Here is a 26820-nt window from a genome sequence, read left to right as displayed (position 1 = left end):
CCATGCCTGGACCATTCTACTTTCTGTCTCTATGAATCTGACAACTCTAGGTACCTCATATTAAGTAGAATCATACAGCATTTGCCCTTTTGTGACTGGCTTATTTCACTCAGCATAGTGTCTTCAAGTATTGTTCCCTATTATAGTGGCTCACTGGCAACCTGGATTTGTCCCAGAGACTGACATATGGACTGGGGCATGCATGAGGCATAAGAAAGGGTTTTACACACTTAAGAAGAGGGCCCAGGCACAACAACATGAATGCACTTAATACCACTGAAATGTACACTTAAAAATGGTTAAAATGGTAAATGTTATGTTATGCATATTTTGCCATAATTTAAAAAATTCCAATGAACAAAAAACAGATAAAGGGATACATTGGATTATTAACAATATTATGGGACCAGGTGTGGCGGCTCATGCCCGTAATCACAACACTTTGGAAGGCCAAGGAGGGAGGGTTGCTTGTGGCCAGGAGTTCAACACCAGCTTGGGCAATGCGGTGAGATCTGTCTCTACACACACACACACAGAAATTATCTGAGTGTGGGGCTGGGCGCAGTGGCTCGTGCCTGTAATCCCAGCACTTCGGGAGGCCGAGGCGGGCGGATCATGAGGTCATGAGATCCAGACCATCCTGGCTAACACGGTGAAACCCCGTCTCTACTAAAAATACAAAAAAATTACCCGGGCATGGTGGCAGGCGCCTGTAGTCCCAGCTACTCGGGAGGCTGAGGCAGGAGAACCTAGGAGGCGGAGGTTGCAGTTGAGCCGAGACTGCGCCACTGCACTCCAGCCCGGGTGACAGAGCGAGACTCCGTCTCAAAAAAAAAAAAAAAAGAAAAGAAATTATCTGGGTGTGGTGGTGCATGCTTGTGGTCCCAGCTACTCAGAAGGCTGAGGTGGGGGAATCGCTTAGGCCTATGAGTTTGAGGCTGCAGTGAGCCAATGATAGCATCACTGTACTCCAGCCTAGGCAATGGAGCAAGACCCTGTCTCAGAAAAAAAAGAAAAGAAAAAAGGAAGAAATGGCTTATTAAAAAAAAAATTAATTCATTCACATAAAACCACTTAAAAAAAGAAAATGAGGAAGGCCTAGAGAATCTAGGCCACCTGGGCTGCCATCAAGGCACTCTAAAGAGAGCGCTGCTCAGGCTGTAGCTTCCCACATCTGCACAGGTGTATTCAAAGCCAAGAAAAACCTTCATTTTTGTTTTTTGAGACAGTCTCGCTCTGTCACCCAGGCTGGAGTACAGTGGCGCCATCTCGGCTCACTGCAACCAACCTCCGCCTCCTGGGCTCAAGCAATTCTCATGCCTCAGCCTCTTGAGTAGCTGGGATTACATACAGGTGCATGCCACAATGCCTGGCTAATTTTTGTATTTTTTCTTTTTTTTTTTTTTTTTTGAGACAGAGTCTTGCTCTGTCCACCAGGCTGGAGTGCAGTTGGCATGATCTCGGCTCACTGCAACCTCCGCCTCCCAGGTTCAAGCAATTCTCCTTGGCTCAGCCTCCTGAGTAGCTGGGATTACAGGCGCCCACCACCACGCCCAGCTGATTTTTGTATTTTTTAGTAGAGATGGGGTTTCGCCATGTTGGCCAGGCTGGACTTGAACTCCTGACCTCAAGTGATCCACCTGCCTTAGCCTCCCAAAGTGCTGGGATTACAAGTGTGAGCCACCGTGTCTGGCCAATTTTTGTATTTTTAGTAGAGACAGTGTTTCACCATGTTGGACAGGCTGGTCTCGAACTCCTGACCTCAGGTGATCCACTCGCCTTGGCCTCCCAAAGTGCTGGGATTACAGGCGTTAGCCACCGTGCCCAGCCTGAACCCCTCCTTTCAAAAAGGAAGGTTCCCTGAGAAGATCCTAGCCCTTGTAAGATGGAAGCTGACATCACTGTAATGTTCAAGGGGCACAGACATTAGGATGGGCGGTGTGATCTGAACACAGGATAATGCTGCTAGTGTCAGCAAGAGGTCCCAACACCCGCCCTGCAGCTGCCAAACAATCACTGACAGACTAGAAGGCTTTCCAGACCCCTGCAGTGTAACACCATTGTATGGCAGCCTTGATCTTCGTGGGGCCTTGTGGGACTCCAGAATGATGCTAGGGGAACCAGGGCTCAGGCCCTGGTCCACTCCTTTCCTGTGATCTCACCATTTCCATAGCTGTAAGTATGTATGCAGTACACACAGGTATGAATTTCACATTTATATTTCTAGCCTAGGGTTCGCTCTCAAACCTCAGACTCATACACCCAACTGCTTACTTTACATCCTCTCTTGGGTGTGAACCGACATCTCAAACTCAATAAGTCTAAAACTGAACTCTTGATATCTCACCCTAATGCTGTTCAATTCAGCTATCCTCATCCTTCCAATTGCTCAGGCCAAAAGCCCTGGAGTCATCACTAACCCCTCTCCTTCACCTACTTTCTATATAATGATCCATCAGAAAATCCAGTGGGCTCTACCTTCAAAATACATCCTTTATGGGATAACTCTTCACCTTGTCCACTGCTACCACCCTGGTTCAAGCCACCGTGGCCTCCCACCTAAATCCGTGCAACAACCTCCTAACCTGTCTCTCTGCTTCCACCACTCTTCATCTATTCTCAGCACTGTGGTTAGAGTGGCCTTTCAAAATGTAAATCAGATCATATCTCTGCTTAAAACCCTGACACAGCCCCCTCTTTACTCAAAGTAAAAACCAAGTCCTTAGAATAACTCACAGGTCCTACATGTTCCACCCACTCTTCCCCTTCTCCCTATGACCTCCTCTGATACAACTCTTCCCCTTTGCTCAGTCCACACGGGCCTCCTTGCTGTTCTGCAAATGTGTCAGCCATGCTTCTACTTTGGCTCTAGCTGAATGTCCTTATGAGAGGTGAAGCCAGCTGGACTTCCTGGGTCGAGTGGGGACTTGGAGAACTTTTCTGTCTTACAAGAGGATTGTAAAATGCACCAACCAGCGCCCTGTAAAACACACCAATCAGCACCCTGTAGCTAGCAAGAGGATTGTAAAATGCACCAATCAGCGATCTGGAGCTACCAAGGAGATTGTAAAATGCACCAATCAGTGCTCTGTAAAAAACACACCAATCAGCGCTCTGTAGCTAGCAAGAGGATTGTAAAATACACCAATCAACGCTCTGTAAAATGCACCAATCAGCGCTCTGTAAAACGCACCAATCAGCAGGATCCTAAAAGTAGCCAATCGCAGGGAGGATTGAAAAAAAGGCATTCTGATGGGACAGAAACGGAACACTGGAAGGGATAAATAAGGGAATAAAAAGCTGGCCACCACGCCCCACCCACCCAGCAGCGACAACCCACTCGGGTCCCCTTCCGCGCTGTGGAAGCTTTCTTCTTTTGCTCTTCACAATAAATGTTGCTACCACTCATTCTTTGGGTCCATGCCATCTTTAAGAGCTGTAACACTCACTGCAAAGGTCCGCGGCTCCATTTTTGAAGTCAGCGAGGCCACAAACCTACCGGCAGGAACCAACTCCGGACACACTTACCTCCTTTGGTCTTTGTATCTCATGTCCTCAATGAGACCTACCCTGATGTTACGGGCTGAATGGTGCTCCTGGCAAAATTGACATGTCGAAGTCCTAACCCCCCAGTATCTCAGAATGTGAGTGCATTTGGAAATAGGGTCTTTAAAAAGGGAATTAAGTTATGATGAGGTCATTCTGGTGGGCCCCAATCCAATCTGACTCCTGTTTTTAAAAGAAGAAGAGATTAGGACACATATACACACAGAGGAAAGACCATGTGGAGACACACAGGGAAGATTCATTCATATAACCAACTGCTTACTTTACATCCTCACTTGGGCGTGAACAGACATCTCAGACTCCATGAGTCTAAAATTGAGGTCTGATGAGATACAAAGACAAAAGCTGAGCTCTCTGCAAGCCAATGAGAGGCCTTAGAAGAAACCAACTCTGACAACACCTCGATCTGGGATTTCTACCCTCCAGAGCGGTAAAATGAGAAATGTCTGTTGTTCAGGCCACCCAGTCTGTGGTACTTTGCTATGGCAGCCCTAGCAGAGGAATATGCCTGGTCACACTGTTGATGCTGCATCTTGCCCCTTCCCTCTGGCCCGGATCCTCTCCTGCTTCTACCTTTTTTCCATATTGCACTCAGCATCTCTCACATACTTATTTGCTTAGATATTATGTTTGTTGTTTAGAGTTCTGATCTCTCTTCTGCTCCCCTTCCACCCCATGTGAGCTCCATAAGGGCAGAATCCTTCTTTCGTTTAACTGAGGTATCCCAAGCACCTCCAACAGTGCAGGGCATACAGCAGGTGCTCAGTAAACAGCTGATGGATGAATGAGTGCTAAGACTCTCTTGTACTCGTAGGGATCGCTGGATGCATTCCTTCAGAGGGAGAGCTTTGAAGGACACGGTAAAAAATTTCACTGCGTTGACTCCAGGTTTAATAATATAATATTAGAAGGAAGAAACTACTTTCTTAGTTTTCTTCTTACTCTATTCTTCCCATTTAATGGCCCTCCACCCCTTACTCCCAATTCTCCAGTGTTCTCTATGCAATGGCCAATAGCAGCATTTATCCATTTAGGGTGAAAACCTGGAGAACGCTCCTGGATTTCTCTCTTCCCCTGCACAAAACCCAAATCTTTCTACAGTTCTCTCCGTTTCCGATCCCATGATTCTGGCCAGGGGCCCTCACTACCAGCCTTCTCAAGGGCCGCTGAAGCAGCCTCCTGCGTGGGCTCCCTGCAGCTGCGGAGATATTTCAGCTACTCTGAAGGGCCACACGTGCTCTCACTTCCCTGACACCCCTCCCCTTTCTCCCCGCCCCTCCACGGTTAGGCTTGTTGACCATAACAAGCAGCTCGCTTGTATTAGGCGCTCACGTTCTGCCTCCCCTACTGGGCAGTGCATAACTTGATGAGGCTTGAGGGCAGGGGTCGTGTCCCTAGTGCCCGGCTCAAAGTGGAAGCTCCAAACTTATTTGTCGGTCGTCTCCCTTGTTGCTCTGACTTTCCACTTTGTATACCCTGGGGAACTGAGCACAGGAGGGAGGCGACGCGGCTGGTGTCACTTTGGGGTAAAGCCCCCTCTGCTCCCCGCCGTGTCCCCGGCCAGCTCTGGCCCCCTGCATCCGGGCTCTCTCACCTTGGCGGAGACCTCCCTCCAGCGGCAGAAAGCCTCGTAGGCAGCGCGCACGGCGGCGCGGGCCTCTCGCACCCCGCAGTCGGCTACCATGCCCAGAGCGGCGCCGCTGGCCGGGTCTTGCACGGGGAAGGTGGCGGCGGCCGGGAGCCAGCGGCCGCCCACGAAGCTGTCGGTGCGCAGCAGCGCCGCAGAGAGGCCCGCCAGGCGCCCAGCGTAGCAGCGGAGCTGGGCCGGGCCGGGCGCAGGCCCGGAGGCAGGGACCAGGCCGCCGGCGCGGGGGCGGAGGCGGCAGCCTGGAAACGTCGACCCGAGGCGCCGGGCCCCACAGCTCCGCAGCCAAATGCAGGTCGCCATGGCCCGGGCAACGACGGCGACAGGAAACAGGCAAGCGGGCGCGCGCGCACGGGAACGCAGGGGTCGCGGGGAAGCAAGAGGAGCGAGGAGGCGCCGGGGACGCGCGGGGAAAGCGTGGGAGCTGGCGGAAGGTTGCAGAGCCACAGAGCAGCGCCCTCTCTCCGCGTCTTTCTCGCTGCACCGCCGCGCCGCCCTCTGCACCTTGCCCTAAGCGCCGCGCGGCTTCTCTCCTGGCGCGACCTTCTCCCGGGGGAGGGTTGGGTTCGGGGATGGAGAAGGCTCGCCAGTAGATGCACCTGCGGACTGCTGTCACCTTTTCACTTTTCGGGTGCTCATTTGTCACTAACTGCTCCTGAGCCCCCAATCGCTGCTAGAGACCCACTCTCTCCCCTTAGCATCCCCCAAATTCGGCATCCCCGGAATTTGTGCGCGGTCCATAGATGCGCTGGTGCCTGCCCTAAATGCCAAGGCCGTGATCACGCTTCTTCAGTTGTAGCTCCTGAGCACGTAGTATTGATTGGGAGCGATCGTTCTCTGAGGGGTCGAAGTGTGACCCCGCGTTCTGCTGCCTGGCTGCTTTTTTGGGTGTGTGTCTAGGCATTCTCCTAGGGTTGCTCCCGATAAATAACAGCGCTTTGGAAATAAACAGACTAGGATCCAAACTCAAGTCTGTTGCCGACAAGCTGTGTGACCGACAGGTTAACCTTAGTCCAGTCACTTATAAAATAGAACCATATCTACCCCATTTTGTTGTGAGATAACGTAAAATGCTCATTACAGTTGCCACATTAAATTCAATATAGCGTTCAAAGTCATACTAGCTACCCTAGTCAAGCCACTAGTAAGATTAAAGTTGGGTCACCAACTAGTAAATGGAAGCATTTGTCAAAATTGAATCAACCAAGGTATAAGGATTGAGCATACTATCCAACCAAGGTATTTGAGCACCTTTAAACAGCATTCTTCATCCGTTAAAAAATTAGACTTGGGCTTAAGACTCTGAAAGCAGCAGGGAAGCTTAAAACCTAATGAGGATAAAAATAAAAATAGCAGGCGTATGCTGGGAATTTGTGGGTGCAAATGAAGCCCAGCCCTATGCATTGATTTTAGGTTACATATCTCCCTTTCTCAACTCCTACAGCGTTGAGAGTATCTTGCTAGCTTTCACCTTTTTCTAGGACGTTGAATTTTTTTCTAGGACATTTGCAAAATGCCGAGGCAGTAACTTTAAATTTTGACTTTGTCTTTTGCTGAGTCAGATCCATTGAGTTTTGAGCCAGTCACATATGGCAGAAGTGATAACAGTAGAGTTTAATCAATTTCACACTATTTTGCTCTGTATTTTATTGCAGGAACTGGGGAGAACCAGGGAGTCCTAATAGGGATGTGGGCCAGTAGGTATCACAGGTGGGGCTGGGGAGCTGGCGTGTTTACATCTCCTGCCTGCGGAGGGAGTTTTTGTTTTTGTTTTGTTTTGTTTTTGGTGGTGGTTTTTGTTTTTTGTTTGTTTTGTTCTTGTGAGACCGACAGACTCATTCTGTCACCCAGGGTGGAGTGCAGTGGTGCGATTTCAGCTCCCTGCAACTTCCGCCTCCCGGGTTCAAGCGATTCTCCTGCCTCAGCCTCCCGAGTAGATGGGGCTACAGGTGTGTGCCACCAAGCCCAGCTAATTTTTGTATTTTTAGTAGAGACAGGTTTTCACCGTGTTGGCCAGGCTGGTCTTGAATGCCTGACCTCAAGTTATCCGCCCTCCTTGGCCTCCCAAAGTGCTGGGATTACAGGGCTCATTTCTACTGGCCTGGGGAAATCATTCAATTGAGGCCTCAATCAACTGAGGCCCAGAAAAGCCAAGTTAATTGTGGCTGCCTCTCTTGTTCAAAAATTACCCTAGCCCACTTACCTTTTTAAGGTTCTATTTCAAACGGTACCCACTCCCTTTCCCAGATGACTTATCCATTACGCACAGTAGGTACGATGCCAAGGGCCCATAAAACTTTTAGGAGCACTCACAAATGTTTAATTTATTCTAAAATCTGAAGAAAAGAAGTTTTAGGTGGCATATTAATATGTTAATCTTACACCAATGCAGATGTAAAATGTGATTTCTATTTATTGTTTACTTATTTTTGTGACAGGAAGTACTTCACAAAGGCAAAAGCGCCTGGAGCTTAGAAAGTTCACAATGTGGCCCTCCCCTTTTCCCTCAGTTTTGTGCCCCTCTTCAAGCCCCCATTCAGAGTGTAAACAATTTCCTCCTGGCTCCTGTCTTACTTCCAGCCTGTCCTGATGCCCCCTAGCGCCTGGCTGGGTGTCTGTCCTTACCAGGGCCTACAAGGACAAGACCATCAGGTGAGAGGGACCTCTTCCCTCCTTTCTCCTTTGGCTGCCCTTGTCCTGGGAACCTCCACTCCCCAGTTCCCACCCTTATTCATCCTCTCCCCCATTTTCTTTTTCTTTTTTTTCTTTCACTTTTTTTTTTTTTTTTTTTTTTGAGTCAGGGTCTTACTCTGTCGCCCAGGCTGGAGTGCAATGGCACGATCTCAGCTCATTGCAACGTCTGCCTCCTGGGTTCAAGTGATTCTCCTGCCTCAGCCTCCAGAGTAGCTGGGAGTACAGGTGCGCGCCACCATGCCTGGCTAATTTTTGTATTGTTTAGTAGAGATGGGGTTTCACCATGTTGGCCAGGCTGGTCTTGAACTCCTGACCTCAGGTGATCTGCCCACCTCGGCCTCCCAAAGTGCTGGGATTACAGGCATGAGACACTGTGCCCAGCCTCTTCTCCCCCATTTTCTAGACTGGCCCACATAAAGCTTGAGACCCTCTGGCTTTCAAACCTGTATTCTCCCTACTCACTCCTTAATGTAACTGTATGTTTACTTTTCACCTTGGGTCTCTATTTCCAGAAGAGTTCTAAATGGTAGAATCATGCTGTCTTGTTTATAACAAAGCCACCTATATTAGGAAAGGGGGGTGTGGGGCAGAAAGAAAAATATTTCCATATGCTTATTATTTGTCAGATAGTAATATTGTGAGCTACGTTTTAACTTTCTTTAAAGTCATATCTTTGATGTTTTTATTGTTACCAAAGTAATACAAACTTCATAAAACTGCAAGCAATATTGTCATATAAAGACCATATTCATAACTATCACACTAAGCAAATAATTTCCTCTTATTTTATTACATTTATACGTTTATGTCATTCTGAATCTCAAATACAAAAAAATGCATAATGAGAAATTGAGACATTTGGGATTAGTATTGTTTGGTAACTGAACCCATTCCTTTTTTTTTTTTGAGGTGGGGTCTTGCCCAGGCTGGAGTGCAGTGGTGTGATCTCAGCTCACTGCAACCTTCACTTCCCAGGTACAGGCGATGTTCCCGCCTCAGCCTCCTGAGTAGCTTGGACCATAAGTGCATGCCACCATGCCCGGCTAATTTTTGTTTTTGTTTTTTTCTTGGTAGAGACGGGATTTTGCCATGTTGCACAGGCTGGTTTTGAACTCCTGGCCTCAAGCCATCTGCCCGCCTTGGCCTCCTAAAGTGCTGGGATTATAGGCGTGAGCCACCACACCTGTTCTGAACCCATTTCTTTGGTGCTTTTTGGATGGGTTTGTTGTATTATATATGGTTAGATATCTTTTCTAGCAGTATTTTTTTCCCCTGTAACCATTGATTGACTGCTCTTGGATGTTCTGAGAGACAATATCCAAAGTCCCAATTAATAATTGTGACTCCCTCACGCACAGTCTGTAGAAGGCCCAGAGTGACAGGGAGGCAAACTCAAAGGCCTCTGGTGGCCAGAAGGGGTGTGGAAACCTGCACACATTGCATGGATGGTGGGGACTGGAGGAGCAGGACATGCTCTATCAGGGGGCAGCTGGCTCTTTGGCTGCAGCTGGTTGTCGTGTCACATGGGAGCGTCAGTTCATGATGCCAGTTCTTTTGTTTTTAAGAGAGCCAGAAATCTAGATTTCTACGTGAATTTTCTCATTTAGAAAAAGTTCATAAACTTGATTTAAGTTTATAAAACATCCTGTTAGCCAAACAAAACACGTAGGCATATGGCCTCTGGACTAATCAGGAGTAGCTGGGCCTACTGCCCCTCAGGTCTGGGGGTAGCTGCGGGATTTCTTTCCTTGGGGCTGTGCACATGGCTGTGTTAAGCTTACAGGGGAAACTGTTGGGGCGACAACTGTTGTCAAATCATTCCACTTTCTTTTTTTCTTTTCTTTTTTTTTTTTTGAGACAGGGTCTTGCTCTGTCACCCAGGCTAGAGTGCAGTGGTGCAATCTCGGCTCACCGCAATCTCCACCTCCTGGGTTCAAGAGATCCTCCCACCTCAGCCTCCCCAGTAGCTGGGACTACAGTCACGTGCCACCACACCTGGCTAATTTTTGTATTTTTAGTAGAGACGGGGTCTTCACTATGTTGATCACGCTGGTCTCAAACTCCTGACCTCAGGTGATCCACCAGCCTCAGCCTCCCAGAGTGCTGGGATTACAGGTGTGGGCCGCCACGCCCAGCCAAATCATCCCACTTTCTATTCATCCTTTCATTTGGCAAACCTGAAGTGAATACTATTTCCTCCCACTCTTTTAGGAGCCCATCTCTTGCTTTTAATGTAAAATATGCATAATTTGTGTTTTAAGATTACCATCAGTTTCATGAAGAGCTTAATTTTTCCCATGGATGAAGTGTAAGTGGGTACCTGATAATATATCGTGAGCTTAACATTTTCCAAACCCTGTTTCTTGGCCCTAAATCTGCCCCCTTCCTTCCACCTCCCAAGTGGAATTGACATCTTTGCTTCAGCTGCAGGAATCTGACCTTGCAACAGGCTCTGGATAAGCCCTATTAGAACAGCCAGAGGTAGAGAGACCAGGAGTGGCTGCTCTTGTGTAATCCCATACAAGTGTCAGTATCTGTTGCCAAATACTGAAAAGGAAGCCAGTTCCAGCTGATTACCATAAAACTTTCCCAGCACTTGTGGCTTGGGAGGCGGAGGAAGCAGGACAGCCTGATAAATGTGTAGAAAGGATGCATGAGAGATCCACCCTTGTAAGGTGAGGTGGTCTAATATGTTGACTATCTGCACAGGTGAGCCTTTTTATAGAAAGCAAAAAATATCTGGAGACAACTTTGCTTGCATCTCTACACAAATTTCATGTTAAAATGAAATCCAGAAAAAACCTCGGTCAGAAGATGCAGTGCTTCTGGCCTAAGGCTTTTCAGATTTCAGTTTATCCTCCCAACCCCACCCCCCAGGAGCACAGAGTTTGTTTGCTGTTCTGGTGAAGCTAAACAGTAGTTGGACAGTTGACTTCATTGGAAAACGATATTATTTTGAAATGAGGCTTGGTTTCCTCGGTCAGTGACCTGCTTAGAGAGAAGCGGTGGGTCTGCACCTGGATTTTGGAGTCCCAGTGCTGCTGCAGCTCTGAGCATTCCCACGTCACCAGAGAAGCCGGTGGGCAATGAGATCATGTCTGCTTTCAGGTTGTGGCCTGGCCTGCTGATCATGTTGGGTTCTCTCTGCCATAGAGGTTCACCGTGTGGCCTTTCAACACACGTAGAAATAGGTAAGTACTGGTGTCTTGTTATGTTGTTGAGAGGACAATACATCTGTCAAAGACATTAAGGAAGAGACTGAAAATCCCGCTCGTGGATTGATACAGTTTCCCCTGGGCACTGAGCTGAGTGGCCTGACAGCAGGGAGGAGAAGCCGGTGATTGCAGTCATCCAGGGATAGGGATTGGCAGCATGACTTCAGTTAAGGGGCAAATAAGAAAGAGAGCTGATGCCCCATTGGTCATGGGACCCCTGTGTGTTTCTCTGGGTGGGGAAATAGTGAGAGGCTCAGTGAACGAGAGGTTGCAACGTGGCAGCAGAACTGACAGAATGGGAGAGGAACAAGATGGGTGGAATATGGCAGGAGTGAGAAATGTACTTTTGTTGTTTTTACATGTCCAAGGACAGGCATTTCCAAGTATATGTAAAGAGCCATATGTGGCCATGGGAGTGGGTCCCTGAGTCAAATTGCTGTAAAAGTGCTTGGCTTCAGGAAGGTCAAGAAAGTAAGGGAGTTTAGTTATCCACATGCACGGTGCCAGGAAGATGGCAGGAGTTGGAGAGCAGAAGGGTACAGCAAGCCAGTGCCACCGACCTTAGGGGCAAGGGCAGAGTCATCCTGGATATAGGGAGATGGCACCACAAAGAGTTATTTAAAATTTTTATTTTTCTAGCTTTATTGATGTATAATTGACAAAAATTGTATAAATTTAAGATATACAACATGATGTGTTGATATATGTATGCCTTGTGAAATGATTAGCACAATCAAGCTAATTAACACATCCGCCCCCCCCACATAGCTACCATGTTTTTTGCATATGGGCTGAGAACACTTAAGATCTTTCTTAGCAAAAGGATTTGGTTCTTGTATGAAGTGTATTTGTAACATGTTTTAACGCATGGAAAACGTGAGTCAATTTGTAATAGAATTAGCTGTGATAACATTCTACAGCAATTTTCAGATTAATTTCAGATATACCTGATGTTCTGAGTTTTCTTTTTTTTTTTTTTGAGACGGAGTCTCGCTCTGTCCGCCATGCTGGAGTGCAGTGGCGCAATCTCGGCTCACTGCAAGCTCCGCCTCCTGGGTTCACACCATTCTCCTGCCTCAACCTCCCGAGTAGCTGGGACTACAGGTGCCCGCCACCACGCCTGGCTAATTTTTTTGTATTTTTTTTTAGTAGAGATGGGGTTTCACCATGTTAGCCAGGATGATCTCGATCTCCTGACCTTGCGATCCGCCTGCCTCGGCCTCCCAAAGTGCTGGGATTACAGGCGTGAGCCATCGCGCCTGGCCTGAGTTTTCTTTAATTTAGATAAAAATTATAACAGAATTTTATAGTTGTACCACCTCCAGAAGTTTCAAAGAATAATAAGATTATAGGCAAAAAATGAAAATTTATCAGTGCAAAATAGACATATATACTGAGCTACGATGGGCAAGAACCTGTTATCACAGAATTTGACTATCTGAAAGGACACTAGAAGTCACCGAGTCCAGTTCTCTTCTTTTACAGATGAAGAAACTGATACTAGACAGTTTTACAGCTAAGTTTTCAGTGGCCTGGCCTAGAATTACATGTCCTGACAGCTGGTCCGGCGTTCTTTCCATTAAAAATGTACTGCTAGAAGGGAGTCAGGAAACAATGGAAAAGAGGATCAGACTTAGGTTCTAGTTCCAGCCATCCAGTAAAGTAGATGTGTGATTCTGAGCAATTCACTTTTTACCTACCTCTCAATTCTATAAAATGAGGGGGTTGAACTTCTTAAAGAATTCTAAAGTGTCTTGCAGTTCTATGTTCTGTGAAGTTGAAATTGCCAAAACTACAGAGTAAGCTGATGAGGAACAAATATAAATGGAAATACTCCATTTTTAATCCTTAGTGTTTAAAAATTTACAAGACAGATTGCATCTGAAATTTTAATAAAACCAGATAATTGCTTGCCCTTCTTCATTAAGTACCAAACAAAGGTCCTAATGGACATTTAAAGAATAATATTTATGTGAACATAATTGAAGGCATCTCCTGAAATAGAATCTGCACGGATTCTGAGAATTTTTTTACATAGAAGAAGACCAAAACTCCATCATTTATTTACTAATAAATTAGATGATTTTATAAATATTTTGGTTCACTTTTTCATTTCTTATAAAGGGGCCTGAGTGGAAGGTCAGCATTATCTGAGTGAGTTAATTAGAAATGGCTTCATTCAGCGTAAATCACTGGAATCCTGTACACAGGTTATTTGTATTTGTGGGTTGTGACTTTTATGATATTAATGCTTATAGTAGTGGCAATAGTTTTTTGTTATATGAATTTTAAAAATTGGAGGTGATTCACAACAGAAATAAGGTATCACCTTTGAATGTCACTTCCCAGGGAATGTTAGTCCTCTTATTGATTCTTGGGAGATTCAGGCTGTGGGTGGGTGTGGGGTGTAGTTGGTAGCTTTCTGAGATGATTTTGTCCTTCTGGTCCAATGATGAAAAACTTTTGAGGATCATTGGTTCAGTCCATAGGTTAGGTGTTATATTGTATTTTGTACTTAGGTTTGTCTGCCTCAGTACTGAAGCAAAATATGATGACAGTTTCTTTTTTTTTTTGAGACAGAGCCTCGCTCTGTTGCCCAGGCTGGAGTGCAGTGGCGTGGTCTCGGCTCACTACAACCTCTGCCTCCTGGGTTCAAGTGATTCCCCTGCCTCAGCCTCCCAAGTAGCTGGGATTACAGGCATGCGCCACCATGCCTGGCTAATTTTTTGTATTTTTAGTAGAGACGGGGTTTCTCCATGTTGATCAGGCTGGTCTTGAATTCCTGACCTCAGGTGATCCGCCCTCCTCGGCCTCCCAAAGTTCTTGGATTACAGGTGTGAGCCACCATGTGTGGTCTGGCAGTTTCTTTTTCTTGAGCTCCTACCAAGTGTCAGCCACTGTGCTTGTCACTTAGCATTTATTATTTCAACCAACCTATACGGTGGGTATTTTTTAAACTCTTTTCCATAGGAGGGAACTGAGGTCTAGAGAGGTTGAATAGCACTAAAGCTCATAGAGTTATTTAATAGTTAAGCAGAAACTTTAAATCACCATCTAAACTTGCTTTGTACTATAACAATAGAAATACTGCACAAGCCTATACCTAATGAAAATTGCCAGTGAGTGCAAACTCATTTCATTTCCTGCGTCCTTGACAGTTATAACCACAAATTGTGTATTTTTCTTTTAAAATCATCTCGCCTAAGTTATGTTTTCAGTAATAGTTGAACTTAATTGATTTATGTATTTATTTCTCTCAGGACACAGAGCTCTGGAGTTTCTTCAGCTTCACAATGGGCGTGTTAACTACAGAGAGGTAGAAATCTTGATTTTTCTTTTCTTCTTTGTGCATTAGTTTTCTTTTATAGGTGCCAAACAAAGATCCTAACAGATATTTAAACAGTAATTTTAAGACTCATTTTGGCTGGGCGTGGTGGCTCATGCCTGTAATCCCAGCACTTTGGGAGGCTGAGGCAGGTGGATCACTTGAGGTCAGGAGTTCGAGACCAGCCTGACTAATATGGAGAAACCCCATCTCCACTAAAAATCCAAAATTAGCCGGGCGTGGTGGTGCATGCCCGTAATCCCAGTTATTCGGGAGGCTGAGGCAGGAGAATGGCTTGAACCCAGGAGGTGGAGGTTGTGGTGAGCTGAGATTGCACCACTGCACTTCAGCCTGGGCAACAAGAGTGAAACTCCGTCTCAAAAAAAAAAAAGAGACTCATTATTTATTTCTTTATGTTATAATGTTGTATATTATGTTATTAATGTTATAAGACATTAATATTATGGTTAAAAGGTATATGTCTCTTCCAAGTGCTACTTGAACATTTTATAGGTATCTTATATATATCACACTTAAAATTTAAAGATTTTAATGATATGACTCATAATTTGAAAAAATACTTGAGAAATTTTTTAAACAGTACATTTTTAAAAATGTGCTAATCTTCTCTGTATCATTCCAATATTAGTATATGTGCTGCTGAGAAGAACACATCTTTTTGTTTTTATTGTAGAGATGGGGGTCTCGCTATGTTGCCCAAGCTGGTCTTGAACTCCTGGGCTCAAGCAATCCTTCCACCTTGGCCTCCCAAAGCACTGGGATTATAGGCATGAGCCACTATGCCTGGCCCATCTTTTTTGTTTTTATTTTAAAAAGTCATACTTGAGAGAGATCATTTATTTTCCACTTCTTGTTACTGTGTGTTGAGCACAAATTGCATCACCAGGAGGAGAAGGAAGTATTTATTAAGAAATACGCACTGAGATTCTCCAGAGATTCTTCATCCAACTCCTGCTATATTCCATATCCTGGTAGGACTAGCTCATGACTCACCTTTACCCATCTTCAAATGAACACATTCTGATCATATGCACTATTTGTTCTATGGCTAAATAATACTTTGTGACGAAGGTGTAATTCTTTCATACTTATATTTGATAAGTGGTTAGCATTCCCTTCTGACATCAGAATTGGATCATTTAATAACATTAAGTCTTCATAATCCATTTGGGAAGCGGGATGGTAAGATAACTGAAATTTATTGTACCCTCAAAATACTTTTAGTCGTAAGATTCAGCTTCCTCACTTGCCAACCTAACAGGCCGAATGAGGAAAAACAGCATTTATATCTGATAGTCATCTTCATTGACCTTGACGGCAAGTAGGCAGGAAAGAGGAGTGGAAACGAGAATCTGCCTAATTCATCACATGAACAATCAATCCAGAGTGTGTGCAGAGTGATTTCTAGTAGAGGTATTCTACAAGGTATTCTAGTAGAGGTATTATTAATTTAAAACATGTTAAATGGACACAGACGCTCCCTTTCAGGATGCATTCTAATCCAAATACTAATGTCATCCTCAGAAATAGGCCAGGCGTGATGGCTCATGCCTGTGATCCCAGCACTTTGGGAGGCCAAGGTGGGTGGATCACGTGAGGTCAGGAGTTTGAGAACAGCCTGGCCAACATGATGAAACCTTGTCGCCACTAAAAATACAAAAATTAGCTGGCCGTGGTGGCAGACACCTATAGTCTAGTCCTAGCTACTTGGGAGGCTGAGGCGGGGAATCGTTTGAACCCGGGAGGTAGAGGCTGAAGTGAGCTGAGATCACACCACTGCACTCCAGCCTAGGTGACAGAGCAAGGCCTCATCTCAAAAAACAAATGGTGGGCCAGGCACGGTGGCTCACGTCAGTAATCCCAGCACTTTGGGAGGCCAAGGCGGGCAGATCATGAGGTCAGGAGATCAAGACCATCCTGGCTAACACGGTGAAACCCCGTCTCTACTAAAAATACAAAAAATTAGCCGGGCATCGTGGTGGGCGCCTGTAATCCCAGCTACTTGGGAGGCTGAGGCGGGAGAATGGCGTGAACCCGGGAGGCGGAGCTTGCAGGGAGCGGAGATCGCACTGCTGCGCTCCATTCCAGCCTGGGAGACAGAGTGAGACTCCATCTCAAAACAAAACAAAACAAAACAAAACAAAGTGGTGGGGCATGCCTCTAATCCTAGCTACTTGGAAGGCTGAGGCAGGAGAATCGCTTGAACCCCGGAAGCAGAGGCTGCAGTGAGCCAAGATCACACCACTGTACTCCAGCCTGGGTGACAGAACGAGACTCTCCATAAGTTCACATGAAAATACCACCAATTCTAATCCGACACCGCAAGATTTACTCTAGCCTTCACCATGTCCATATCTTTAACTCCTTTCTCTAATGCTGAGATGGAGTCTCACTCTGTCACCCAGGCTGGAGTGCAGTGGTGTGATCTCACCTCCACCTCCCAGGTTCAAGCGATTCTCCTGCCTCAGCCTCCTGGTAGCTGGGAATACAGGCGTGCACCACCATGCCCGGCTAATTTTTATATTTTCAGTAGAGTCGCAGTTTCACCATGTTTCCCAGGCTGGTCTCAAACTCCTGACCTCAAGTGATCCACCCGCCGCAGCCTCCCAACGTGCTGGGATAATAGGGGTGAGCCACTGCACCTGGCCTTTCTGTACTCTTTATTCTATTTCACTGGTCTGTTTCTTTTGGTTTCAGTATCATAGTACTTTTGTTTCTGTAGCTTAAAATATATATATTTTAAGACTGGAATGCAGTGGCATGATCTCAGCTCACTGCAACCTCCACCTCCCAGGCTCAAATTATTCTTGTGACTCAGCCTCCTGAGTAGCTGGGATTACAGGCAGGCACCACCATGCCCCACTAATTTTTGTATTTTCAGTAGAGTGGAAGTTTCACCATGTTTCCTAGGCTGATCTTAAACTCCTGACCTCGAGTGATCCGCCCGCGTCAGCCTCCCAAAGTGCTGGGATAACAGGCATAAGCTGCTGCGTGCAGCCTTTCTGTATTCTTTATTCTGTTTCATTGATCTGTTCCTTTTGGTTTCAGTATCATACTATTTTTGTTTTGTTTCTATAGCTTAAAAATATGTATTTTTTTTGAGATAGGGTCTCACTGTGTCACCCAGGCTGGAGTGTACTGGTGTGATCATGGCTCACTGCATCCTCAACCTCCTATACTCAATTGATCCTCCCACCTCAGCCTCCCAAGTAGCTGCACCACCATGTTTGGCTAATTTTTAAATTTTTTGTAGAAACAGAGTCTTGCCATGTCACCCAGGCTGGTCTTGAACTCCTGGGCTGAAGAGATCCGCTGACCTCATCCTCCCAAAGTGCTGGAATTACAGGTGTGCACCACCTTGCCCAGCCAAAAATATGTTTTTGGCAGATCACCTGAGGTCGGGAGTTCAAGACCAGCCTGGCCAACATGGCAAAACCTTGTCTCTACTAAAGAATACAAAAATTATCTGGGCGCAGTGGCTCATGTCTGTAAATCCAGTACTCTGGAAGGCCAAGGCAGGTGGATCACCTGAGGTCAGGAGTTTAAGACCAGCCTGGCCAACCTGGTGAAACCCTGTCTCTACTAAAAATACAAAAATTAGCTGGGCGTGGTGACCGGTGCCTGTAATCCCAGCTACTCAGGAGGCTGAGGCAGGAGAATCACTTGAACCTGGGAGGTAGAGGTTGCAGTGAGCCGAGATCATGCCATTGCACTCTAGCCTGGGTGACAGAGCGAGATTCTGTCTCAAAAAAGAAAAAAAGAAAAAAAATACAAAAATTAGCCAGGTGTGGAGGCCAGTGCCTGTAATCCCAGCTACTCAGAAGGCCGAGGCAGGAAGAATTGCTTGAACCCGGAAGGCAGAGGTTACAGTGAGCTGAGATCACGCCACTGCACTCCAGCCCGGTGACAGTGTGAGACTCCATCTCAAAAAAAAAAAAAAAAAAAAATCCAAAAATACATTTTAATATCTGAAGGATACATCCTTCGTTAGTACTCTTCTTTTTTCCTCAACAGTTTGCTCTTTGGCATAATTTTTAAAATTTACTTCAGATTATTTTATCACATTAAATAACATGCCTACCTCACTGGGAGATGCAGATTCAACAAGTCTTAATACATATAAGGAGCTTAGAACAGTGACTGGTTAAGTAAATAGCCAGTAAAGTTAATTACTATTTTTAAGTGAAAAAAGTCCAACTCAAGCTATCTTTTGGAAAAAAGTGGACTTTATTGGTTCATGTAACTGATATCTGCAGTGTGGAACTGGGCCCAGAGCTCTAGATGGTTTCTATATCTCTCCACGTGGGGAATGCTGACAGCCTAGCACTCAGCGTCAGAGCTCAGCAGCCACAAGGGGAAGAGGGCATCTTCCCAGAGCTCTAGTGGAGAAGTCTTGGGGAAGGTGTGAACGGAACTAGCTTTGCTCAAAGGTCCATTTCTGAGCCAAACTCTGTGGTGAGGGTGGGCATGCTGGCCACAGCATTCTGGTCAGCCCCACCTGAGCGGTGTGGAATGGGCTCTCCTCGGGAGAGGGTGATTCTGCCTCTAGAAGGAGGAGAATGGGATACTGGTTAGAAAAACAAAACCAAAAACCAGATGATACTATCTTTCTTTGTGTTTTAATTTCTTGAAGTACTTCTTTGTTGCACCTATATATGGTCCACATTATTAGTAAGTTCTTATTTAAAAAAAAAAAAAAAAGGGCGGGATATTGCCAAACTTTTACTTTGCCCAGTGTGTCCATCAGAGTTCATTTGCAGATAATGGAAACCCCTCTGCTAGTTTAGGCAAGGAAAGGATTAATACCAGGAATTAGAGAATTCACTGCTTACAAACTGTGGGAACTGCAGGAGCAGGCTCTAGGCCAGGTGTCCAGAAAGGACTCCCAAAATAATGCACAGAACTGGCCTGTCAAGGAGCTGCTACTCCTGCCATTGACAGGCATTCACTGCCCCATTTGCTACAAATTCAACGGTCTCATACACGGTTTGTAAAATAAGAAGCCACCACCTCACCTATTGGTTCTGGGACCTCATCACCACCTCGGGCACCTGCCTTACTAACAATATGGTTGTCCTGTACTCTGCCCATAAACACGTGGGAAGCCAGAGCTGCAACACGAGGGGCTGTGCTACCTCTGCTGTGGAAAAACCAAATGCTTCCATGTTAGCCGAGGGCTCCGTGGTGGAGGCTGGGCCATATCAGACTGTGAGCTGAGACAGCCTGGGAAATGTAGTCTGTGTTTTCTAGCCTATAGCATGCAGCTAGACATCCCATAAGGGACTCGGAATGGAAGGAAGTGAGCCAGTTGACCAAGGAAGAACATTTAGAAGAAAACCGCTACCATCTACTTTCACATCATTTAAAAAGGGAAAGCACTTTTTTTAGCCCTCCCAAAACACAAAGGACGTCATCTTACACTAAAACACAGGTAGCAACTATAAACTGATATGCACATATGTGCGTGCTTGTTTGTGTGCGTGCGTACGTGCGTTTGTGTGTCCGTTTTTCTCTTTTCACTGTGAATCATTGAAAATTTTATAAAAAACCAGCTGTGGGCCAGGTATGGTGGCTCATGCCTGTAATCCCAGCACATTGGGAGGCTGAGGCAGGAGAATCGCTTGAACCTGGGAGGTTGCAGTGAGCTGAGATTGCGCCACTGCACTCCAGCCTGGGTGAAAAGAGCAAAACTCCATCTCAAAACACAAACAAACAACAACAGCAACAAAAACAACAGCTCTGGGTCAGTAAAACAACCTTAAGGCCTCAGGGAAATCCTGCTTTACTGGATTGACAGAGAAAATGAAAGAAGATGAAATTTAAACAAGTGTTTTCTGCTGTTTCTAAATTAGCCTCTCTGTGTTTGGTAGGGAAGAATCTGAAGTTATATATTGTTGTGTTTTGTCTTGGATTATGTGTGAATTTTAATCATTTATTTACTTTATGCCTGCTTTCCTTCCTTTTTCCCTTTCATTCCATCTATACCCCCATATTTCTAGCATCTCATCACAGAAAATTGGTGGGGCCTATACTCCCCAGGCTGTTGACTCCTGCCCCTTAATCTCTGTATTTTCTTGCTCTGCAGCTGTTACTAGAACACCAGGATGCGTATCAGGCTGGAATCGTGTTTCCTGATTGTTTTTACCCTAGCATCTGCAAAGGAGGTAAGATGAAAGTTTGCAGACTGAATGAAGTCACTTTTACTTGGTTAATAGGAATAGCTATGACTTTAAAAATATATATATATGTGTGTACAATATATTTTTAATTGCACAGTATATTTTCCATTATTGTTGAGAACAATTTGTTTCCCAACAATATTGTTGGTTAATGACTTAGTTTACATAGTTGCATTTTCCATTTAGCTATAACTGACCTAGTTAAGCATAGAAATTCTGAAAACTATTTTTTGGTGAAAACCTAAGTGACATGATAGAAGACATTTTGCAAGAGATCAAAAGGTCTGAGTTTGTGTTCCTTCTATATTAGCATGTGATCTTAAAAAAGTCACTTATCCACAGAATCTCAATTTTCATGTCTTGGCAAAGACTGGATTGTCCTGCCTGCCCTGCCTAGACTGGATTGTCCTTGGCATTAATGCACAGTATTTTGTCAAGTGTTATGCAAATCGCAGATACTATTATTTGTAAGAGTTAAAGAAAGAGGAAAGAAACATGAAAAGCAGCTTAACAGTCAAAGACAGATTTATTTTGGAGAAGTAAACCTGAGAGGGGCTTCTGGCCGATTTCGGTCAGGAACACTCTCTCTCTTACAGACTGAGAGTATTTATTGGTGAGAGAGTTTGGAATGTTTCTGTGTGGGGGAGAAGTTTATGGTGGGATTGGAATGTCTCTAGTTGGAGGGGAGGTTATCTTGGGGTTGACATCTCTCTGGCTGGAGGGGAGGTTATCTTGGGGCTTGCACGTCTCTGGTTGGGGAGGGGTTTGGAATGTTTCTGATTGGAGATGTTATCTGTGATTTATGGTTATGCTGACTGTACCCATTAGGCTGATGCCCTTTGGATTTAGGCAATTTTTGGTCAAGGTGAACTTAAAATGGCAGTTCTTGTCCAAGATGGCAATGCTTCTGCTCTGTCATTATCAGTAAACTTGTCTCATGAGTCGTATCAGTCAGAGCCCCAGCAGGACCCAGAAGTCACACTCAAACTGAGTAATTGGAGAGGAGCTTAGTAAGGGCACCATTTTCAAAGATATGGACAGGAGGCGAGGAATTGCAAAAGATAGTTCAAGGGAGGGAGAGATTACTGGAACCGTGGAGAGAGAGAGCTGCATGAAGAGGACCACTTGAGAGCTGGACCTTCAGCTAAGGGGCACAGCCAGCCCACTGTGACCCCACAGAAGGGGAGCTGGGAGAATATATACCCCAACTTCTGTGTCTTCTTTTTCTCTGATCTGTCAGTTCTCTTTATTGGCCAAACCCAACCCAATCAAAGCCAGAGAGCCACGAAGCTAGTTGAAGCAGGTGACCTCAGAGTCACCCTACAAGGTAGAGAAGGATGGGGAGTGGGTCTGGAAGGACAAATGGAGGCCCCCAGCACGCTGGGTACTTGTATAAACTGCTTCTGGGGTTTTGGGTCATCTGCTATTATCCCATTCCTTTAATTCAGTGATGTCTTTGGGACTGAAATGAACTATCTGGGGCTAATCACTCCTGCAGTTAGAATCCCAGGCAGCTAGCTTTTGTATTTCTCATATTTATAAGGAGTTTTGTTCTGTTTCCCTCTTAGTCTGTTAACTATCATTTCTCAATCCTATTATTTTGCCTGCATGTTATAGTTCTCCTTTCTAACCTATTATTTCTAATTTAGCACTTCCCAAACTGTATTCATGGGAGCTCTACTGTCCCTTGATAGCTTCTACAAAAAAGAAAGAAGAAAGGATATTTTTGTCCATTCAATTTGAGCAACATTGCTTAATGTACGCCATTTTTAGAGACAGACAAAACCCACACTAATCAAGGTTCTGAGGAGAGTGGAAAAGGAATGTAAAGTATTTACCTAGCATTTTCCAGTTTTTTCTGCAGCAATAAATAGTCTTGTGTGATGAAAAGATTGGGACTGGTATATGACTAGTTACAGGGAATTTGCATACAAATTCCACTTATTCCACTTAGGTTTTTTTGCATTTTTCCACATTTTACCTTGTCTCATACATACCTAATTCAACTGTAGTTTTCCTTTTCTTATTTGGTGATGATTCACTTTCATTGCATCTTTCCAAAGCACTTAGCTTTCTTAGATACTTAATTGCCAAAGAAAAAACACCTTTTTTTTAAAGTTATTTTTACATTTTTTAGAGACAGGGTCTTGCTCTGTTGCCCAGGCTGGGGTGCAGTGGTGCAATCACAGCTCATTACAGCCTCAAACTCCTGGCCTCAAGCAACCCTCCTGCCTCAGCCTTCTGAGTAGCTGAGACTATAGGTGTGTACCACCATACCTGGCTACTTTTTTATTTTATTTTTAAATTTTTGTAGAGATGTGGTCTTGCTATGTTGCCCAGGCTAGTCTCAACCTCCTGGCCTCAGGGGGTCCTCCCACTTCAGCCTCCCAAAGTGCTGGGATTATAGGCGTGCACTACTGCACCCAGCAAAACTCTTCATTTGTATTAGTTTACCTAATACTGAATTAGCCTTTGTAATTACAGTAACAAGGACATCTGGTTTAAACAGGATTAGAAGTGGGTCTGATTGACCCTTTGTGAGCTATGGTATAGACAGGTAAGTTCAAGTCTCTGGGCAGTGGCTTGCCAGCTGTCAGCATCTAGTATGTCCTGGGGGACTTTCTGCTTCCAGTCTGTTGGATTTACAGAGGGATCAGAAAGCTTCAGTTAATCTGCCAATTTGTTTAAGTTGAAGTTGTTCAAAAGAGCTACTGCCATATTTAATTCTGGAGTTTTACTGTATTCTGGAGAACAAGAATTGTTTAAAGCTTTATCTCTAGGAAAACTGTGGGAGCAAATCAAATGTCTTGATTCTAACTCCTTTGAAAATCATTTTGAAAAAAAACCAATGATTTAAAACTGGTTCGGCAATTTTTACTTTAGGAACGGCATAGAAAAATTGAACTGAGGGATCTGAACTCGGCAGTTTTGCTTTTAGTTACCCTCGTAACATTTGGCACTCCATGAGGCATTTGTGGCTCTTGGAGGTTTAGCACAGAGGCCAGTTCTGTCTTTCCTACCCCTCTTGTGGGAATAAAGAGCTACATGGGACACGCACTGGCCCACTCAAACGACACTTGCATAAAATGCTCACTGGGGCCTGTGCCATTTTGCAATAATTATTATAAAATCAAATGCTTGAAAGCATATGAAATATCTGCTTTTATTTCTTGTACTCTTAAGGAGGCTGACTGTGAGGGACAAGGAAGATACTTTTTAAAATCCCAACAAATAAACAAAACCAAAGTACAACTTGTTTCCTTAGTTTTAGGGCACAGAAATGGAAACAATTCTAGCCTCTATTCTAACCAGGTAGCCGGGCTTGCGATTCCGTGAGCCAGTTTAGGCTCCGTCCCTCTTACTGTAGGGCTCTTTTTAGTCATCAGGCAGACAGTACCACGCGTATTCCAAAATCTCAGCTGGCTCTTCCGTTTTAGAGGCTTCTTTTGAAAGTCGACAGAAGAAACTGAGGGGCATGGAGGGAAGGAGGAGAAGGGACACAGCAGCGCAGCGGGTGGTGTGGAAGATTTGATTGAGACTCTCCAACTTTTAAGAGAGAATCTAGAGCCCTGCTTTTGTTTTGTCAGGAAAATTCCATGATGTGTCTGAGAGCACTCACTGGACTCCGTTTCTTAATGCAAGCGTTCATTATATCCGAGAGAACTATCCCCTTCCCTGGGAGAAGGTAGGCGTGGTCCTCCAATCCTTAAAATATTTAGCACCAAACCTGCCATGCACTGTGTTTGCACCCGCATTGACCCCATTTGTACCGCTCTGTAAGGGCTGCCCACCATTCCACCTTCAGTGTCATGCACATTGCTTGGACATAGTAGATGGCTAGCTAATACTTGAATTACTTATAAACACGGTTTGGGATACATCACTTCATCATTTTGCTCCAATAGTAATTAATCTGAAAGCACTTCCAACACATCGTAAAACGTTTCCAAAAGTCCTTATGGTTTTGTGTGTGTGTGTGTGTGGTTTTGTTTCTGTTTTTGTGTTTTTCAGACAGAGTGTCGCTCTGTCACCCAGGCTGGAGTGCAGTGGCGCGATCTTAGCTCACTGCAAGCTCCACCTCCCGGGTTCATGCCATTCTCCTGCCTCAGCCTCCCAAGTAACTGGGACTACAGGCGCCCGCCACCACGCCCGGCTAATTTTTTTTTTTTTTTTTTTTGTATTTTTAGTAGAGACGGGGTTTCACCATGTTAGCCAGGATGGTCTCGATTTCCTGACCTCGTGATCCACCTGCATAGGCCTCCCAAAGTGCTGGGATTACAGGGGTGAGCCACTGCGCCCGGCCTGTGTGTGGTTTTTTTTTTTTTTGAGACAGAGTCTTGCTCTGTCGCCCAGGCTGGAGTGCAGTGGTGCAATTTCAGCTCACTGCAACCTCCGCCTCCCAGGTTCAAGCAATTCTTGTGTCTCAGCCTCCTGAGTAGCTGGGATTACAGGCAAGAGCCACTGCACCTGGCCTCTTATGTGGTTTTTAATAACTAGAAACTGCAATTTACTTGCCTGAAATTTTTTGTTAGGTCTCAGTAACATAAATGAATTTATATTTATTAAAACTTTTAATAGGATTGTTATTATAAAATCACCCAAACACACATGACTCTAATTTGCTTGTTTGGCAGGACACAGAGAAACTGGTAGCTTTCTTGTTTGGAATTACTTCTCACATGGCGGCAGATGTCAGCTGGCATAGTCTGGGCCTTGAACAAGGATTCCTTAGGACCATGGGAGCTGTGAGTACATCCCTTTATGGGGAATGACTTTATGGGAGTGATACTGTCTCACCTAAGATCAAAACCTGACCGTTTTAAAAGAAAGGAAAATGTTAGGTTATTCAGACTTCTGCCCAAAGCAGTGTTTGGTTAGAGTCCCATCTTTTCCAATTTGTTCCTTTTTTTTTTTTTTTTGAGATGGAGTCTCACTCTGTTGCCAGGCTGGAATGCAGTGGTGCGAAGGCGCGATCTTGGCTCACTGCAACCTCCAACTCCCTGGTTCAAGTGATTCTCCTGCCTCAGCCTCCTGAGTAGCTGGGATTACAGGCACGTGCCACCATGCTTAGCTAATTTTTATATTTTTAGTAGAGACGGGGTCTCACCATGTTGGCCAGGGTGGTCTTGATCTCCTGACCTCATGATCTGCCTGCCTTGGTCTCCCAAAGTGCTGGGATAACAGGCATAAGCCACCGCGCCCGGTCCAATTCATTCCTTTTATTCTTCTTGCCAACTGGGTAGATTCATCCACAAGAGCAGAGTGGCTAATGTGTACTGAAAACAGTCATAGATGTGATGTTTTGTTTTAGTCACAAAAATAATTGATAAATCTTATGCTTTATTCAAGCTGTATATCTTAAGAAGGATATGAATACCTGCCACTTGGTTCTATTTAAAAGTAATACTTCTACTTTATTGGACTTTTTCTCTCTCTTTTTAACTTTCTATATGAAAATGCCATGTCCTCAAACTGAAAATTGTGATCTTACCTGATGACTTAGCCTCTGGAAGGCCCCCTGGTCCTTAATTTATGTTAATTACATTCTGTTAGAAGTTTCAACTTCAACTCAGAGATTTTTATATATATCCTATAAGGCAGAGTTGTCTGTAGTAGCTTTATTGCCAGACATATGTATCCAACTCAGCTGCATATATATGTGTGTGTGTGTGTGTGTGTGTGTGTGTGTGTATGTGGGTGTGGTTTTTTTTGTTGTTGTTTTTTTGTTTGTTTGTTTTTGAGATGGAGTTTCACTCTTGTTGCTCAGGTTGGAGTTCAGTGGTGCAATCTCGGCTCACTGCAACCTCTGCCTCCCAGGTGCAAGTGATTCTCCTGCCTCAGCCTCCCAAGTAGCTGGGATTACCAGAACCCGCCACCATGCCCGGCCAATTTTTTGTATTTTTAGTAGAGATGGGGTTTCACTATGTTGGCCAGGCTGGTCTTGAACTCCTGACCTCAGGTGATCCACCCGCCTCAACCTCCCAAAGTGCTGGGATTACAGGCGTGAGCTACCGCGCCCTGCCTTTTTATTATTATTATTTTTTTACTAATAAAATGTTAGTGTGAAAATTGAGTCTATTATGCGTCCTCAGCAGTTCATTGAGTTAGCTGTCATCTCCCACCACTTGCTTGACTGTGGAAGTAAGAGTTGGGGCTACAATTTGTAATACACAC

General features: G+C 45.0%; 2 protein-coding genes across 8 annotated transcripts in view, besides 1 other annotated feature; one reads left to right on the top strand and one right to left on the bottom strand.

Moving 5' to 3' along the window:
• ALDH5A1 (aldehyde dehydrogenase 5 family member A1) overlaps nucleotides 1–5543 on the bottom strand; it is a 42239-nt gene extending 36696 nt beyond the window's left edge. For all 3 annotated transcript variants that reach the window (NM_170740.1, NM_001080.3, NM_001368954.1), the window contains exon 1: nucleotides 5162–5543. In NM_170740.1, coding sequence (NP_733936.1) covers nucleotides 5162–5515 — 354 coding nt within the window. In that variant the 5' untranslated portion in view covers nucleotides 5516–5543. The remainder of the gene's footprint in view (nucleotides 1–5161) is intronic.
• Nucleotides 5148–5537: a silencer, noted in NCBI's record as "silent region_16989". NCBI's record gives its function as "represses an Ori minimal core promoter by ATAC-STARR-seq in GM12878 lymphoblastoid cells {active_cell/tissue: GM12878}" and the evidence as "EXISTENCE:reporter gene assay evidence [ECO:0000049][PMID:35858748]".
• Nucleotides 5225–26820, top strand: part of GPLD1 (glycosylphosphatidylinositol specific phospholipase D1) — a 71319-nt gene continuing 49723 nt past the window's right edge. For 3 of the 5 annotated variants that reach the window (XR_007059240.1, XM_017010753.3, XM_047418658.1), the window contains exons 1-6: nucleotides 5225–5545; nucleotides 11015–11097; nucleotides 14382–14437; nucleotides 20553–20631; nucleotides 24234–24331; nucleotides 25281–25391. Coding sequence is in view for 4 of the 5 variants with exons in the window: in XM_017010753.3 (XP_016866242.1) it covers nucleotides 5502–5545; nucleotides 11015–11097; nucleotides 14382–14437; nucleotides 20553–20631; nucleotides 24234–24331; nucleotides 25281–25391 (471 nt within the window). In the remaining variant the exon portion in view is untranslated. Of the gene's footprint in view, nucleotides 5546–10933; nucleotides 11098–14381; nucleotides 14438–20552; nucleotides 20632–24233; nucleotides 24332–25280; nucleotides 25392–26820 lie in introns of those variants that run through there. The other 2 variants (NM_001503.4, XM_047418657.1) reach the window with 2 other exon arrangements.

This window comes from Homo sapiens, chromosome 6 (genome assembly GCF_000001405.40).
Source record: "Homo sapiens chromosome 6, GRCh38.p14 Primary Assembly".
NCBI lineage: Eukaryota > Metazoa > Chordata > Mammalia > Primates > Hominidae > Homo > Homo sapiens.
The sequence above is the reverse complement of the archived record's forward strand: the minus strand, read 5'-3'. Positions and strand labels throughout refer to the sequence as shown.